Here is an 18,038-nt window from a genome sequence, read left to right as displayed (position 1 = left end):
TGCTGTGAAGACTTTTTTTGTTTTTGTTTTTGTTTTTTGAGACAGGGTCTGGCTCTGTTGCCCAGGCTGAAGTGCAGTGGCACAATCTTGGCTCACTGCAACCTCTGCCTCCCAGGCTCAAGCGATCCTCCCACCTCAGCTTCCTGAGCAGCTGAGACTACAGGCGTGGGTCACCACACCCAGCTAATTTTTTGTATTTTTTGTAGAGATGAGGGCTCACTATATTGCCCAGGCTAGTCTTGAGTTCCTGAACTCAAGCAGTCCTCCTGCCTCGGCCTCCCAAAGTTCTAGGATTTCAGGCATGATTCACTTCACCAGGCCTGCTGGGAAGATTAAATAAGTTAACACTTACTGTGCTTACAACAGTTCCTAGTGTAGAATAAGCACCGTGTGTGTTAGCTATGCTTATGACCAGGCCTGTGGGTGTGTGTGTGTGTGTGTGTGTGTGTGTATGTATGTATGTATAGAAAGCATTTGAGAAAACTAGTAGGGACTTGGGGTGATTTTTATTTGTTTTAGTAAAATATAATAGAAAAAGAATGAATTAGATTCTCTGGAGTTTTAAGCATACAGTAGCATTTAAGTAGAAAGATCACTTACTTTGGTTAGTATCTGATAAATAAATCTGTGTAATTCATGTTATTTTACTTTTACTATTTTTGTGTTGTTATTTTTCAACCCCAAAGGTAACCCCTACTGGCAAAAAAATATAAACAACCAGAAGTCCACAAAGGAAAAAGGGAAAGTCACTCCTTCACTGCCTCCTAGTTTCAGTCAGTCCCTAGAGGTTACTACTGTTAGCAATTTGTCAGATCTTTTTTCAGCTGTTTTTGCTGGGCATATATGAACATACACACAGGGTATTTAAAAATAGATTTTAAAAAATCAAAATGGAATAATTCTATACATGTTTTGCAACTTGTGGTATTCACTTAACTATGTATCATGGACTTTTAAAAAAAATATCGGTATCTAGGGTCTACTTTATTCTTTTTAATAGTTGCATTTTCCAGGGTAAGAATGTATCATAATTTATTTAACCAAGCCCTTATTTATGGACACTTAGATTGCTTCTAGGCTTCACTTTAAAAAGCAGAGAGGAAGCAGCACAGAGTATTTTTGTTAAATCCATCATCTATTTACTATATTCTCTAATACTTTCACTGGAGTTGCTTAGAATCCAATTCAGTATACACTGCAGTAAAGCTGGATTGAGTAATATTTGTCATCTGAACTGTTGTTCAAGGCTTTTAATAATTTTCATGAACTAACATTATACTTACGTCTGTGATGGTCTTTGGGTGAAAAAATCTTGGAAGGATGTCCAATTTCGATAACTTTCCTGTGTTTTAAATATTAGGTAGTTTGTACTTCTCTGTGAATTCACTCTAGATTGCCAATATCTAGTTCTCAGCAGCTAAATTGACTTTACAGTGATCTGATCAAGTATGGAGCATGGGCTCCAGTCTACTTTAAACAGAAAACATATCTCTTTGGCAGAAGGAAAACTTATAATTGAATTTGAGACAACTGGTTTGGCTTGCAAAGTTGGATTCCCTGGCATTTGAGAAGATGGTTGTACAGTATTTTTTAATTTCAACGTTCCTGTAAGAACTAATGCCACTGATAATATATTATTTGATTGAATAGGTCTTATAGATGCTTTTTGAATTAATAATAATTTCTTTCATGGAGATCTAGCTGAGAGCTCTTGCCTGCCCCTCAGTTAGGGCCCTTTTTTGTTTACAAGGACACTGATCTGCAAACTGAAACTAATTGCCCAGCAAGCAGGCACTTTTTCTCCCACAAACCCAGCAAAACATTCACTGATTGGTTGGCTGGGTAGGACTTTTTTTTTTTTTTTTTTTTTTAAGACGGAGTTTCGCTCTTGTTGCCCAGGCTGGAGTGCAATGGTGCTATCTCGGCTCACCACAACCTCCACCTCCCGGGTTCAAGCGATTCTCCTCAGTCTTCCAAGTAGCTGGGATTACAGGCATGTGCCACCATGCCCAGCTAATTTTGTGTTTTTAGTAAAGACAGTGTTTCTCCATGTTGGTCAGGCTGGTCTCGGATTCCCGACCTCAGGTGATCTGTCCACCTTGGCCTCCCAAAGTACTGTAATTACAGGTGTAAGCCACCGTGCCTGGCCCTGGGTAGGACATTTTAAGCAGGGTGAAGAGAGATGCTGTGATACCAGAGGTAATAATAATCAGTAAGACACTAAGGTAATGACAAATGTTTGATTTTTTTTTTTTTTTTTTTTGAGACGGAGTTTCGCTCTTTTTGCCCAGGCTAGATTGGCTCACTGCAACCTCCACCTCCGGGTTCAAGCGATTCTCTTGCCTCAGCTTCCCAAGTAGCTGGGATTACAGGTGCGCACCACCATGCCTGGCTAATTTTTGTATTTTTAGTAGAGATGGGGTTTCACCATGTTGGCCAGGCTGGTCTCGAACTTCTGACCTCAGGTAATCTGCCCACCGCGGCCTCCCAAAGTGCTGGGATTATAGGTGTGAGCTGCCGCACGCTGGCCCAAATGTTTGATTTTAAAAATTATGGACCCTTAGGGGTAGATAGGACTTTAAATGCCACTACCTCCTAATGTGGCTCTACATTTGAAGAAATATTTCCATAGGCTTAGCTGAAATTTCTTACTTTAGTTAACTGATTGATCTGGCTCTGCCCGTTGGGGCCATGCAGAAAAAGTTGGCTGTCTCTGTGCCATGACAGCTCTTACAGGTTAGGGGACAGGGATCATGATCCCTCTCTGTCTTGGCCAAATAATTTCAGCTCCTTCAACTGATCTTTATGTGACATGGTTTCAAATTTTCTTACTGTCTTGGTTACTTCTCTTCTAGTTTTTTTTTGTTTTTTGTTTTTTTTTTTGAGATGGAGTTCCACTCTGTTGCCCAGGCTGGAATGCAGTGGCACCATCTCAGCCCACTGCAACCTCCGCCTCGTGGTTTCAGGCAATTCTGCCTCAGCCTCCTGCCTAGCTGGAATTATGGTGCATGCCACCACACCCTGCTACTTTTTGTATTTTTAGTACAGACAGGGTTTCACCATGTTGGCCAGGCTGGTCTCGAACTCCTGATCTACCCGCTTCAGCCTCCGAAAGTGCTGGGATTACAGGCATGAGCCACTGTGCCTGGCCCTCTTCTAGTCTTTTTCAGTCTTTCTGTGTCTACCAAAATGTGAAACAGAGCTGAACATAATACTCCAGATGTGCTCTAACCAGCTTGTAGCAGAGAGGGCAGTTGCCTCATTCCTTCTGGATGGGGTACTGATGTTGATGTGGTTAGTTCCTAATCACAGTAGCTTTTTGGCAGCCGCATTATGTTGTTGACTCATTGAGCCCATTAAGATTGCTAAGCTCTATTAAAATTTATTTATTTTTAAATATGTGCTAGGTGAGTCTTCTTTCATTCTGGACTTGGAAATTCTTATAATTTTCTAAAGTGTAATCTGAGACATTAACTAAATTTATAAGATTGATTGTGTTAAATTCAGTTATCCTTTTAGATCCCAGGTTTGTCAGTGTACTCCACCCAGTTTATTTGCATTTACCTGCGGTGTGTTCCTATAGACAGAGTCTACGGACAAGTTAGGGCAGATTATTCTTACCTCATAGGGCAGAATAAATTTACAGATGATAAAACAATTTGGAAGATAAAGGATAATAATTTAGATTAGTTTTAAAGGGTCTCTTTCAGCTCTAAAGTTCTGTGATGATTTGGTCTGCATGATTCAAGGCATATTTATGTCCCCCAAAGAACCTTAATTATTTATTTGTTATCTGAGTGATGAGAATAGACTTTGTTTAAGCAAGCCCTAGAATTTAGAACTTGAAAACTCTGACTACCATGACATGTAAACAAAATATTACAGATGGATTATTTATTTTTGTTTGTTTGTTTTGTTTTGTTTTGTTTTTGGAGACGGAGTTTTGCTCTGTTGCCAGGCTGGAGTGCAGTGGTGCCATCTCGGATCACTACAACCTCCACCTCCCCGGTTCAAGTGATTCTCCTGCCTCAGCCTCCCGAGTAACTGGGACTACAGGCGCATGCCGCCACGCCCAGCTAATTTATTTTTCTTTGTATTTTAGAAGAAACAGGGTTTCACCATGTTGCCCAGGCTAGTCTCAAACTCCCAACCTCAGGCAATCCGCCCACCTCGGCCTCCCAAAGTGCTAGGATTACAGGCATGAGCTACCATGCCCAGCCTGTTTTTGTTTGTTTGTTTGTTTGTTTGTTTGAGACAGAGTCTCACTTAGTTGCCCAGGCTGGAGTGCAGTGGCACCGTCTGGGCTCACTGCAACCTCCGCCTCCCAAGTTCAAGCAGTTCTCCTGCTTCAGCCTCCCTAGTAGCTGGGACTACAGGCATGCGCAACCATACCCAGCTAACTTTCTTGTATTTTTAGTAGAGATGGGGTTTCACCATGTTGGTCAGGCTGGTCTTGAACTCCTGACCTCAAATGATCTGCCTGCCTCAGCTTCCCAAAGTGCTGGGATTACAGGTGTGAGCCACCACGCCCAGCCAAGATGGATTATATTTGAAAAGAACATCCTAGGAATATAGGACTCTCTTAACTGTACTGGAAAATGTTTTCATCATCCTAATATTCTCTAATACTAGATTCAGGATCTTACTTACTCGTGTTTCTTTAAGAAGATGCCATTTATTTTAAGGAAATACAAACTGTCTAGGCTTCAAAGTTAATATAGACCCCACAGTCTTTTATCTAAAACCTCTGGGTTGGATGTGTTTCAGAATTTAGATTTTTTCATTTTTTCATAAATACATTCCAGTGAATTGGGAGCAGCATCCTGTAATCAAACACATTAAGATATCTGCAGCAAACTGCACGTATCTTTACAGTGAGTGTGATAAATAAAGACTTTCAGTAGCCTTTGCTCAGGTCAGGTTTTATTTGCATTTGCTCAGGTCAGGTTTTGTTGCCAAATGTATTCGGAGTAGGTCAGATATTTGCCACCAAGTGAGTTACAGGAAAATTTGTAGTTTCATAGCTTCTGGTATTGAGCATCAGATTTGAGGGATTGTGGACTACTATAATAGTAATTACAAGCACACTTACTATGTTCCTGGCACTGTTCTATGTGCCTTATATATATTAAGTCATTTAATCTCCAAAACAGGAACTACTAAGTTAGTTACTATTATTATCCTCATTTTATAGATAAGGAAATTGAGTTCCATAGAAGCCCAGCTCTGGCAGAACCTACATTCAAACCTAGTGGGTCTGGCTCCAGAATCCATATTATTGGCATTTAAAGAAATACAGCTACCTAGAAGAGTAGGAAACCATTTTGCTAAAAATAATTGGTCCTTGGATATTAATCTGGGAAAACTTCTACTCTTCCTTGGCGTTTACTGTCTTCATTCCACTGTGTGCTATTCATTCATCTCCCAGAATTTTCTTTTCTTCTTTCTGTTTTTTTCTTTTGAGACAGGGTCTCACTCTGTGTCCCGGGCTGGAGTGCGGTGGCACAATCATGGCTCACTGCAGCCTCAACCTCCTGGGCTCAAATGATTCTCTCACCTCAATCTCCAGAGTAGCTGGGACTACAGGTGTGCACCACCACGCCTAGCTAGTTTTTGTATTTTTAGTAGAGTTGGGATTTTGCCATGTTGCCCAGGCTAGTCTCGAACTCCTGAACTCAAGTAATCCACCCACCTTGGCCTTCCAAAGTACTGGGATTACAGGTGTGAGACACCGTGCCCAGCCACCTCCCTGAATTTTCTGTTTGACAACGTTTTACAATTGTTATATTAAATTATAGCTCTTATTGTTTCATTAATTAGGTTCTAAGTTTTTCTGTGATGGAGAGATTTGTTCATATTTTTTGGGGGGCCAGGCCCCCCAAATTTATCATACCTTATGCCTGACCTAAGTGCCTAGGTTTTTGTAGAAATTCCTTAGTCTGATTAGTTTCTGGAGCAGCATAAACTCCAGAACATTAGTTTCAAATCTTCTGTATTATGTCCCCAGGAAGCCTCCTGGCTAGTTGAAAATTTACACATTGAAATAATCTAGGTCTTTTTATCTTGATTTTTAAAAAAGACCCCTAAAATTTAAGTGTGCATAATTTCTCATCTTAGCATTTCTAAACATGTGTATTAACTTCCAGACATTCTGGCACCCTTATAAAAAGAATAGAAGAAAAGTATTGCAGTGCTGTTTTTACTGATGAGTAAATTATGGGTGGAGAGAATTCTGCTCTAGGGTACTTAATAGAGCAGAAGAAAATAAAAATGTAAGACCTTGTTTAGCTGAAAGACAGTGTTAGATGATATTTTAAGTTATAAATAGCTTTAATCCTTGCTTTTTCCTTTATCTTGATTTTTGTGTGGTTTTTTTTAGGTGTGATATAAAAATCCTTATTAGTAATGTTGACATTATATTACAGGGACCTCTTCTGTGATCACTTAGGCTTTTTTTCAAGTATACATTTTGATTTATCTGTTTTTCACTAGAAATGACTACCCTGACTGCCCTGGTAACTTTAAAGGAGGATTTCTAAAAATGTGATGAAGAAGATAAAGATTATGTCTGGATACCTAGGTTTGAATCATAGTAAAGGTTTACTAAAAATATTTATCCTTTTAGATGTATCCATGTGAGTACATGTGATAAATTTGTATCAAAATAATCTCTCTAATAATGCCACTGTTCTACAGATAATTATGGTCAGAAAAATCTTTCCCTATTATTTTGTCTTCATTGAAAAAAAAAAAAACCTTTCTTCCATTCTCCTTGCTCATTTTTTTTCAATTTAAAGCCTTCTATGCGTTCCTCTCACTCATATCTTTTATTTTTAGCCCCAACCATTCTTTCCATGATCTTTAAGGAACCAAATTACCCTCTCTGTTTAACAATTTACCACTTTGTCCTCCTTCAGTGCTTCCTCAAAGCTTAATTCTTCCAAGACGTCTTTCTAGATGAACAAAAAGTCCTTAAAGATGTGTTAGTGTCAGCATGCATGGCGTTGAACAGTTTGCACTGAGAACAAAATCTGTCTTTCTCTGTGACTTTCACTTTTTTCCTATTGATTTGTTTTTGGTCTATGTAATTTAGATTATGAAGCCTTCTTAATATGAAAATGTCATCCTTTATACAATATTCAGAATGCGGTATTCTCTCTTTTTGAAAAAAAATGGAGAAAAGATTTTCTTTTTCCACTGGGGTCTTCTTTATTGTCCAACTTATGCCCCACCTACCCCCTGCCACCTTCTTCTGAGGAACAATAAAGAAAAAACTTTCATAATAGAAGTTATCTGGCTCTAAAAAAAAATCAAGAACTTTGAATAAGTAGCAAATTTATTTTCCTATTTATGAATAACATGACCTGTTTTTGTTGGTAGGTGGTTTTGAGATGCATACCAGTATATAATTAATTTCGTTAAGAAACAAATGTTTGATCTTTTGAATGACAGAATTTCCCCATTAGAAATATAATTAAAGTTAATAGTGAACAGAGTGCTTTTAATATTAGCAATTAACAAGTGTGCAGTGCATTATGGCTTACAAGGTGCTCTTAGAATGTCTAAGACCTTGCAATTCACATTTTGTTGATTTCTGCATATTATATGAATGAAAAAGGCTTATGTCCTCTGTACTTTTATTGGTGAATATTGATCAAACCTTTATAGGTTTTGTTGGGTTTCAGATTTGATATTTTGTATTTTAAACCATTGTCTTTTAAGTTTATTTTGTTAAGTGTAAATCTTGTCTTGTTTAGCTGCCCATATTTATATGATGAATAAATGGTATTTGGAGAAGAGGACTGTTTGCTTTATATTTTCTTTCCTAGACACTATACAGGGCTGAATGTTGTGGAAAGAGCCCAGAAGTAACTGAAAGTAAATGGTCATGGAGATAACAAGGTGAATCACAGAACTTGACTGTGAGGGCTCATGTGAATTTCATCTCTTTTTTTTTTTTTTGAGACACAGTCTCGCTCTGTCGCCCAGGCTGGGATGCAGTGGCGGATTCTCAGCTCACTGCAACCTCTGCCTCATAGGTTCTAGCAGTTCTCCTGCCTCAGCCTCCCGAGTAGCTGGGATTACAGGTGCCTGCCACCATGCCCAGCTAATTTTTATATTTTTAGAAGAGGTGGGGTTTTGCCATGTTGGCCAGGTTGGTCTTGAACTTCTGACCTCAAGTGATCCGCCCGCCTTGGCCTCCCAAAGTGCTGGGATTACAGGTGTGAGCCACCGCGCCCAACCTCAATTTCATTTCTTCGTATTGAAATATTTACTTCTTTCCTAGTGTAAGAATCTCTTTGGCATTATCTTTTTTTTTTTTGAGATAGAGTCTCACTCTGTCTCCCAGGCTGGAGTGCAGTGGTGCCATCTTGGCTCACTGCAACCTCTGCCTCTTAGGTTGAAGTGATTCTCCTGCCTCAGCCTCCCAAGTAGCTGGGATTACAGGCACCCACCACCACACCCAGCTAATTTTTGTATTTTCAGTAGAGACAGGGTTTCACCATATTGGTTAGGCTGGTCTCAACCTCCTGACCTTAGGTGATCCACCCGTCTCAGCCTCCCAAAGTGCTGGGATTACAGGCATGAGCCACTGCACCTGGCCCAGAATCTCTTTGGAATTATCTTAACCTGCTATTTCAGTTGTACTACTTCAAATCATTGTTTTAATAGCAAAGAGACTTACACTGTTACCTTTCATTTTTAATCTGATATTTAACACTTTGGCAGGGAAGGTAACTAATATTAACTGAGCACATATTATATGCCTGATTACCTATAAGGATTTTTTTACGTACATCGTGTCATTTAATTCTTAAACAATGCAGTAGTTAAATCTTATTAACCTTACTTTATGACTGGCAAACACTGGGATTCAGAAAGTTAAAGTAGTTTGCTCAAGCCTGTCAGGCTTACAGACTCCATGAGGGCAGGACTTCCATTTGTTTTGTTCACAGTTATACCTCTGCTGTCCAGCCCAGATAGATTCTTAATAAATATTTAGTGATTGAATTAGTGAAAAAGAAGGAACAGTTTGTAGGTATACTAGACATGCATTGTATTCTTGAGGAAAATAATGTAATCATGCCTTTCTTTTTAGTTTAGAAATCAATGTTTCTCTCACTCATAGTAATATGAGGAATAGTTTGAGAACCTGCTTAGGACAAGTGGAACTCCTTGAGATCCAGCTTATTATATTAATGATTCATTTTTTGTTTGTAACATTTTCCCTTGTATTTTTCTTAAAGGAAGAACAACAATGGACAAATGAACATTTGATGACTTTTGTAGAAAGGGTAGCTAAGTTGCAGAAGCTGAGCACTTGTCTGTAAGATGTGGGATCCTAAGTTCTTTCATTAGTTCTTTTACTAGTTATCTGTCTAGTAAAAGCAAGTAGTTTTATCTGTTAAATGAGTTAGACTAGATTTGTGATTTTTAAACAGTATTATTTGGGGACCCAGGGTTCCTCAGATGTGTTTGGGAGCCATTATAGGGACTGGAGAGGCCAACAGGTCTACTTCTGGACCTTTCACACCCAACTCTCACCTCTCACCTCCACATCACCACCCCCACTTACATCAGCTCTTCTTTCATTTGGCTTATATTTTGGATTTGTCCTTTCAGTAAAGATTTTTGAAAGAGGAATTCTCCTACTCTAACATTTTATGATAAAGAAATTTGGTAATTTATGAACTTACATTAAAATGTTTACATTATATTAAGCAGCAATATACATATGAGGAGAGAAATATACCAAAATATTAATTAGTTAAACCTAAGTAATGGGATTATGGGTAATTTTAATTACCTTCTTTGTGTTTTTCTGAATTTTTAAAGTTTTTTCGTGACTATATCCAATTCTAATTTTATAGTCTTAAAAATAAATGAATAACATTTAAAAATGAATAAAAAGTTCTGATAAGCTTGGTAAGTCTTTACTTATATAAGATCAAGTCAGATGATATTACCCAGGGCCACTTAACTATAATTTCTGTCATTGACTAAGCAAGTTTGATCTATATCAGGGTATTTGTTTAGTCTAAGTGAGTCAGGGTTTTGAATAAAGGAGACTATTCATGCAGACTGACAAATCTTGAACATACAGTAGGAATGACATATCTAAGATTTGGTACCTTTAGGCAAAATTTAACTGAGACCTTCAGCAGAGGCTGAAAATTGAGAGCTGGCTCTTTCTCCATTTCATTTTGTCTAGGTAATTTTTTTAATTAATTAATTTTTTATTTTTTTTTTTAGAGACAGAGTCTTGCTCTGTCGCCTAGGCTGGAGAGCAGTGGCGTGATCTCGGCTCACTGCAAGCTCCGCCTCCCGGGTTCACGCTATTCGCCTGCCTCAGCCTCCCAAGTAGCTGGGACTACAGGCGCCGGCCACCACACCTGGCTAATTTTTGTATTTTTAGTAGAGACGGGGTTTCAGCATATTAGCCAGGATGGTCTCGATCTCCTGACCTCGTGATCCGCCCGCCTTGGCCTCCCAAAGTGCTAGGATTACAGGCGTGAGCCACTGCTCCCCACCTTGTCTAGGTAATTTAAAGCATTCACTTGAACATTACTTAAAGTAGCTTATTGAAATAGATCTTGTTTAGATTGTGCAAAATTTGAATTCATGGCATTGTTCATAGTCTTTATCAATATATTTGATTATTTCTTCTTTAAAGTTACTGAGCCTCCAAAAGTTTGGTTTCAGTCTGTCCATATGTTTTCCAATTAGATCAGACGGGATTGCTGTTATACTGGTAATATAACAGCTGTTCTATATGATACCTTGCCAGGGAGACAGCTAAGCATTAAGGGAAGGGAAAATTTATTCATTTGGAAAAAGGAATACATTCTGCCTAGTCATAGGGAAAAAGATAAGGAGTAGGAATGTTGTCAGCCTGGCTGGAGAATGTTAAATAACCTTTATTTACTAAATTTTAGACCCTTTAGATAACTGAGTCTGAAAACTTATTTCAGTCTTACATGCTTCCAAGAAACTGGCATATTATCACAGATCTTATTAGATTTTTATCATTTATTTTTAATAATCTAGTGCTTTTACTTGATACATGTGAGCAAAAAGAAGAGATGAGAAGTAGTAGCATTGTTAACTACAAGGAGGATATCATATTTCCTACTCCTTTTTAATTTTGGAAATTGTTTTTTTTTTTTCTTTTTTTTGAGACAGGGTCACACTCTGTCACCCAGCCTGGAGTGCAGTGGCGTGATTGTGGCTCACGGTAGCCTTGACCTCCCGGGTTCAAATGATCCACTCACCTCAGCCTCCCAAGTAGCTGGGACTACAGGCGTGCACCACCATGCCCGGCTAATTTTTTTTAAACTAATTTTTTAAATTAATTATTATTATTATTATTATTTTTGGTAGAGACAGGGTTTCACCACGTTGTCCAGGCTGGTCTCGAATTCCTGGGCTCAAGCCATCTGCCCACCTCAGCCTCCCAAGTGTTGAGTTTACAGGCGTGAGCCACCGTGCCTGGCCTGGAAACGGTCTTTAAAGATGAAATTTCTTTAAAAATATTCTAGGAAAAGTGTAGATGTTATTCACTCTGAAGGAAATTGGATAACTTGAATAGATTTTTAGATTCTCTTAAGTCCTATTAATCATTATAGGGATTGGGAAGGGTTATTGGAAATAACGGGGGGGGAAGGACTTGCATTCCAATATATTTATCCTGTTGTGTTTGTTTATTGAGTCTTGATGAGAGGAAGGCATTGGGCTTTTTCTGCTGTAGATTTTTCATGTGATTTTATATTTATTGTAATCCTACAGTGTGTTTTATCAGTTCTATATGAATAGCACTAACATTATAGTCCCACCATCTATTGATGTTATGTGAGTTATTGAATAGTTATAAAGTGTACCAAAAACCCAAAGCAATCTAGTTGTTGGGTATTATTATACTGAATTGTTGGTGTATTGCCTGCAAACCTATCCTGTTCAACTGGTTTTAGTTTTTAAGTTAGTTTGTTGCTTCAACTTGTCCGCAAAGGCAGGGCTGGATGGTCCAGCTAATCAGTAGAATCGAAGTCAGAAGAACTAAATTCTAGTCTTTCTATTCACTTTTTGAGTTATTGAGTATATTTTTTGATGACTCTATGACTCAGTTTCCCAGACTATAAAATGAAACTTCCAGTCACCAAAGGTTTTTGAGAAGTAACACATGTAAACTACTTTGGGCTTTCTCAGACATAAAGGCTTTAATATTCTTTCCAAGTTACATGGTTTATATTAGCTTATAATGGAATGTGACCAAGATAGCTTTGATTAAACACAACAAAGAAATAAACACATTCATTTATATATGGCTTCTTTACACAAAATATATTTTTATGCTATTTTGTAGTTGACATATTTGTATAATTTAACAATTATGGTGTTTTCCAAAGGTTTGAGGTCCTTTAGTATTATTTTTCTTCCCCACTACCTTGAGAAAACAAAATAATCTTTATCTCATATTAAACTCACAACATATATAAGTTGTGCTTTATGTAATATTATTTTTGGTTGATCTGTTTAGAATGGGTTCTACTTACTTTTTTTTTTTTTTTTTTTTAAGAAACACGGTCTCACTCTTTCACCCGGGTTAGAGTGCAGTAGTGTGATTGTAGCTCACTGCAGCCTCGAACTCCTGGGCTCAGGTGATCCTCCCATATCAGCCTCCTGAGTAGTTGGGACTACAGGCATGTGCCACCATGCTCAGCTAATTTAAAAAAAAAAAAAATTGTAGACATGCAGTCTCGCTATATTGCCCAGGCTGATACTATACTCCTGGCTTCAAACAATCTTCCTATCGCAGCCTCACAAAGTGTTGGCATTACAGGTGTGAGCCACTGCACCTGGCCAGTTTTTTTACAATTATAAAAATAATCTATGTTCATTTTCTACAATAAACATTGTAGAAAATGAAAAATAGAGAAAAAAGCTGTCCCATAAAGCTTTTTTAAAATCACTGATTGAGTTTAATATTTTATTACTGCATATATTGCTTCATTTCTCATGATAATAAATGAGATCACTTGCTTGTTATGAAAACAGAGGTGCAAGTAGGATTTAACAGTCTTCTGAAGACCAATATAAGACAGATCAAAATGTGAAAAAATTCACCACATTTAAATTATTTATCATGTCACCAAAAAGAAAGTAAATCTATTTTGATCTAAGACCCCATATGATGCTTTACTTGAGACTTGGTACTCCCTGGCAGAATCAAGTCAGTGACTGTTTTTCTTGTGTCTGATCCAGCACAAACATGATTTGTCTTTGGTTCACGTGGCCCCTGAAAGCCCAAAGCAGCCTGGAACAAAGCCAGACATTTGGTATTTTTCAATACTGTGATGAGAGAAGACAAGGTGCCCATCTGCCTGGCTTGTACGTTGCCAAAAGGCCTAGGTGCTACCCTAAAGAATATGCCAGAGAATGACTCTGGCCTTTAGGAAACTGGTAATGATTACTCTTCTCTGAATTTTGAACTTTGAAATCCAAGCAGTAATGAATCATAGTGTTATTGAGAGGGGATTAAATTGATCAATGCATGTAAAACCCTTAATTCAGCAGTGCTTAATAGTCAGCACATACATTAATAATCAGCACATAGTAAACACTCAAAACAGTTTTTGAAAAACAGGGATTTTTCAAAGACAGCAGTGAGAACTTTGTCTGTTAATTCTGGATTAATTAATTTACCAACTTCCGTCATATAATCTGTAGACTGGTAACACATTGGTAATCAGAAAGACTTGCATATTGTCACAGATCAACTCTCTAATAGGTGGTTCTAAGGTGCAGGTTAGTAACAATATGCTTGAGGCAAAGGCTACCTCCTATCCTTCCAGAATGGCCCAGGTCAAGCTAGAATTATCCTGTGTCATGTTGCCAGTTACAGCAGTAATGGTACTGCTCAGAACTGGACTAAATAGAAGACATTTTAAAAAGGCAAATGCAAAGATGGAAATCCCCAAAACAGCCATTGTCCAGTTCTGGTGAGTATATACTCCTTGGGATCTTATGTAGGCCCTAGCTACAAATGACCTAGTAAAGTAAAAATAAAATTGGGCTCGTAGAAAGATGTGACCACTCTATTTTATGTTGGTAGCACATTGATATACACCTATTATAACCTATTATAACTTATACTTTCTAACATTACATAGTTGCATACAGGTGCAAGTCACATAATCTTCCTGGGCTTCTATACTATCTTCTGTAACATGAGTATAATAGTAACCTACCAAATAGGGTTCTTGGGTGTTGGGCCTGGAATTCAAAACTAGCCCTCTGACTCAAATCTGTGCCCCTTTTTTCCTTTGATTAAACTGTGCTGCATTGCCAAAGCAGATGGGAGTAGCAGAAAATGAAATAAAGCATTTAGTAGTTACAGAGCACATTTTGGGTTCTGTTTTTTTTTCACCTCCCCTATCCTCCCCCAGCAAACTCATACATTTTCTGTCTCAGCACTGGTTCTGAGATGTACACAGTGATCCAGGTTCGCTTTCAGTAGCTACTGTGAAAATCAAAATTAGATCAAAGAGTGTTTCTTGAAGGCAGATATGGGTGTGGAGTGGAGGTTGGGAGAGGAGATAATGGTGGAAATTAAATGAGGGTAAGCAGGTAGAAAAGCATGGCAAATGTAAAGCAGAACTGAATAGTAACTATGTGATTGTCTATTCAGCACAAAGAGGATCGGTGCTAACAAGAGACAATGTCATGCTTATTAGCATTTAGCAAGTAATACCACATACTGTGAAATGGTAGTATTGATTGTTTTTGACTTGACTATAAAACCTTTCATCTTTAACTTAATATGGACTCTAGACCAAGATGCTAATGCATAACAATATTTTGTAAAAAAAAAAAAAAATAGCAGATGACGTTTGATTATATAAAAGTCATAGAATAGACTGGGCGCGGTAGCTCACGCCTGTAATCCCAGCACTTTGGGAGGCTGAGAGGGCCAGATCACTTGAGCCCAGGAGTTTGAGACCCGCCTGGGCAACATGATGAAAGTCCTTCTCTACAAAAAATGCAAAAACTAGCTGGGTATAATGGCTTGTGCCTGTATTCCCAGCTACTTGGGAAGCTGAGGTGGGAGGATTGCTTGTGCCCAAGAGGCAGAGGTTGCAGTGAGCCAAGCTCATCCCACTGTACTCCAGCCTGGGCGACAGAGCGAGACCCTGTCTCCAAAAAAAGAAAGAAAGGTCATAGAGTATCAGACTTGCAAATGTGATTCATACTCTGCCAGTCATTTCAGGGTGCATTCCCCTTCCTTATTTTGTAAACTTCTCTCCTTACTCAAAGGTTAGTTATCTCTCAGATCAGACAAAGGAGCAGCTGTTATTCAACTATAGATCCAACTAGATTCGAATATGTTTTCCAACTAGATTACATCCTACAGGTACATAAGTACAGTGGTCAGATCATACTATACAACTATAGATGTGGAGAATACATATATAAAGTAAAACCTCATCATATTTGCCTAGTTAATCATTTAATATACTATTTATGTTTCACTATAATTCTCCTATTACTCACTGTTAAAGTGAGCCCAGCCCATAGAGCTCAAGTTCTTTGGTATGATTTAAAACTCCAAGATGTCTGCCATCCTCATTTCTTGTACTTTTCCCCTTGTGCTTTAAACTCTAGCAGACTGAAATGGCTTATATTTTCCTTCAAATACTATGCTTATTTTCATTATCATTATTAATAAAGCAATCATCTGTGAAGGTTACTCTTTGTCAGATACTAAGAGCGTTAAATGAATTTCCATGACCTCATTTAATTATCAAAAGAACCTAATAAAAAGTTTGTATTATTATCCCCACTCTACCAAGCAGGAATTGAGGTTTTGAGAGTTTGAATACACAAAGCAGGGTTTCATAGCTAGTACAATGTAGAACCTTGATTCAAATTCAGATCTGTTTAGCTTTAGAGCTGCCTCTCCTAATCACTAAGTTAACTAGATTCTCCTTATTTTGCATGTGCTGTTCCCTCTACCTGGGATGCCCTACTCTTCAGTTTCAATAGGGGTCTTAATTCTAAGCAACAGAAATCATTTATTGATTCAATCAGGATTGAAATTTATTAAAAGGATATTGAGGAGTTCACAGAATCTCCAGAGGTACCAAATTCAGGCCACGGAGTTAGAGGTAATAGTCAGTTGTGTCCATTGAATATATGCCACTGACATCACCACTCACACTGCTAACCTTGGGTATTGGATGTAAGAACAAGTGCTACTGCCACTTGTCATACTCCATCCATCTCCCTGTTTGCCACCAGAGAGAGGGCCTCCTGTTCATTCCTTTGAATCATTAGTTTCTAATTCCAAGCCAGGTAAAGGTGCATCTGATTGTTGGAACCTCAATGACTGGCCCATGCCCTGGCTGCAGGGGAGGCCAGAAAAACAAGAATCTGACATTATGAACCTACGTGATGCGGTATCAAGGCTTAAAATATGGAGAATTCCTCCAAATAGGAAGGGATTCTGAGAATGGTGGGAAATTATACTATGATACTAGGCTGACAAAAAGAATGACACGTGTCTACCCACACCCTTTCTTTGGCTACCTGCAAACTTATTTGTCCTTTAAAAACATCCTTACAGCCTCCTATTATACTTCCTAACATTACATAGTTTTTGATTATTTGCTTTTTTTTTTTTTTTTTTTTTTTTTTGAGATGGGGTCTCACACTGTCACCCAGGCTGGAGTGCAGTGGTGTGATCTGGGCTCACTGCAACCTCCGCCTCCCAGATTCAAGCGATTCTCCTGCCTTAGCCTCCCAAGTAGCTGGATTACAGGCACCCACCACCACTCCCAGCTAATTTTTTGTATTTTTAGTAGAGACGGGGTTTCACCATTTTGGCCAGGCTGCTCTTGAACTCCTGACCTTGTGATTTGCCTGCCTTGGCTTCCCAAAGTGTTGGGATTACAGGCGTGAGCTACCGCGCCTGACCTTTTGATTACTTGCTTTTTAAGGACCCTTATTTTAAGTATTACTTGTCTATGTAACTGACTCCTCTTTACCTTTTCTCAAGTAGCCTATAGGCTGTGTCTTATTGATGTTGGCACTCCCTAACATGTACATAGGATAGTGTTCAGCATGTAGTAAATACTAAATAAATCATTGAACAGCATTGGTGCATAAATTGTCCCTATTCACCACCAGCACTAGAATGTAAGGTCCATAAGAGGCAGGGGTTTTTGTCTTTGTCTCTCTCTCTCTCTCTTTTTTTTTTTTTTTAAACCACTATATGGCCAGCACCTAGATTAATTCCTAGCATGTGGTAGGTCTGTGGTAAATATTTGTTAAATAAGTGAATACCCCTAAATAGTAAATTATCTCTGGGAGTGATGCTGTCAAAAAGGCCTTTGAATGTGAATGGGAAATTCAAAGCACCATATTATAATATACAACTAGACCACAAACAGTGAGGACAGAAACTGCCTTATTCATCTTTGGTTACCTCTTCTTCCTATCTAGAAACATAACCAGAAAAGGGCAATTTGAAATTTTTTCCTAGACCTACCATGATAGTCACTAGCCACAAAAATTGCCTGAAGTACCTACCATACCTGCTAAACATGAAACTTTCTTTTTGGCCTCCTTTTGTGTATAACCAGCTGTATCATGAGATTGCATCTACTCTGGGAAGAAAAGGCTGTTGGGCAAACTGTCTTGTACTTATGTTTAAAAAAGTAGAATAACCTAGGGCAGTAGAATCTCACTTTGAAGAAATGAAGAAGTGGAGGCCCATAATTATGAAATGATTCGTATAAATGTAAAACACTTAGAATTCCTGGCATAAATTGGCCTTCTAAATATTAGCTGTACTTTTTATTGCATATTGAAAACTTAGTCCTTCGGACTTTTTACTTCACTGCTTCCAATCCTTTTAAATTCTTCATTACCTCTAATCCTCTCAATTCTGTTGATAAGCAGTGTTACCCAACTTTACAAATAAAGAACCTGAATCTAAGATGAGGTTAAGTTGTTTGCCCAAAGGTCACAGCCAAGTGCTA

At 38.3% G+C, this 18,038-nt stretch overlaps 1 protein-coding gene across 1 annotated transcript in view; it reads left to right on the top strand.

Moving 5' to 3' along the window:
- The window catches only part of MEGF9 (multiple EGF like domains 9), a 113,660-nt gene that overhangs the window by 2,175 nt on the left and 93,447 nt on the right, over positions 1–18,038 (top strand). The window lies entirely within an intron of this gene.

This window comes from Homo sapiens, chromosome 9 (assembly GCF_000001405.40).
Source record: "Homo sapiens chromosome 9, GRCh38.p14 Primary Assembly".
Lineage (NCBI taxonomy): Eukaryota > Metazoa > Chordata > Mammalia > Primates > Hominidae > Homo > Homo sapiens.
Note: the sequence above shows the minus strand (reverse complement) of the source record. Positions and strands in the feature narration are given on the sequence as shown.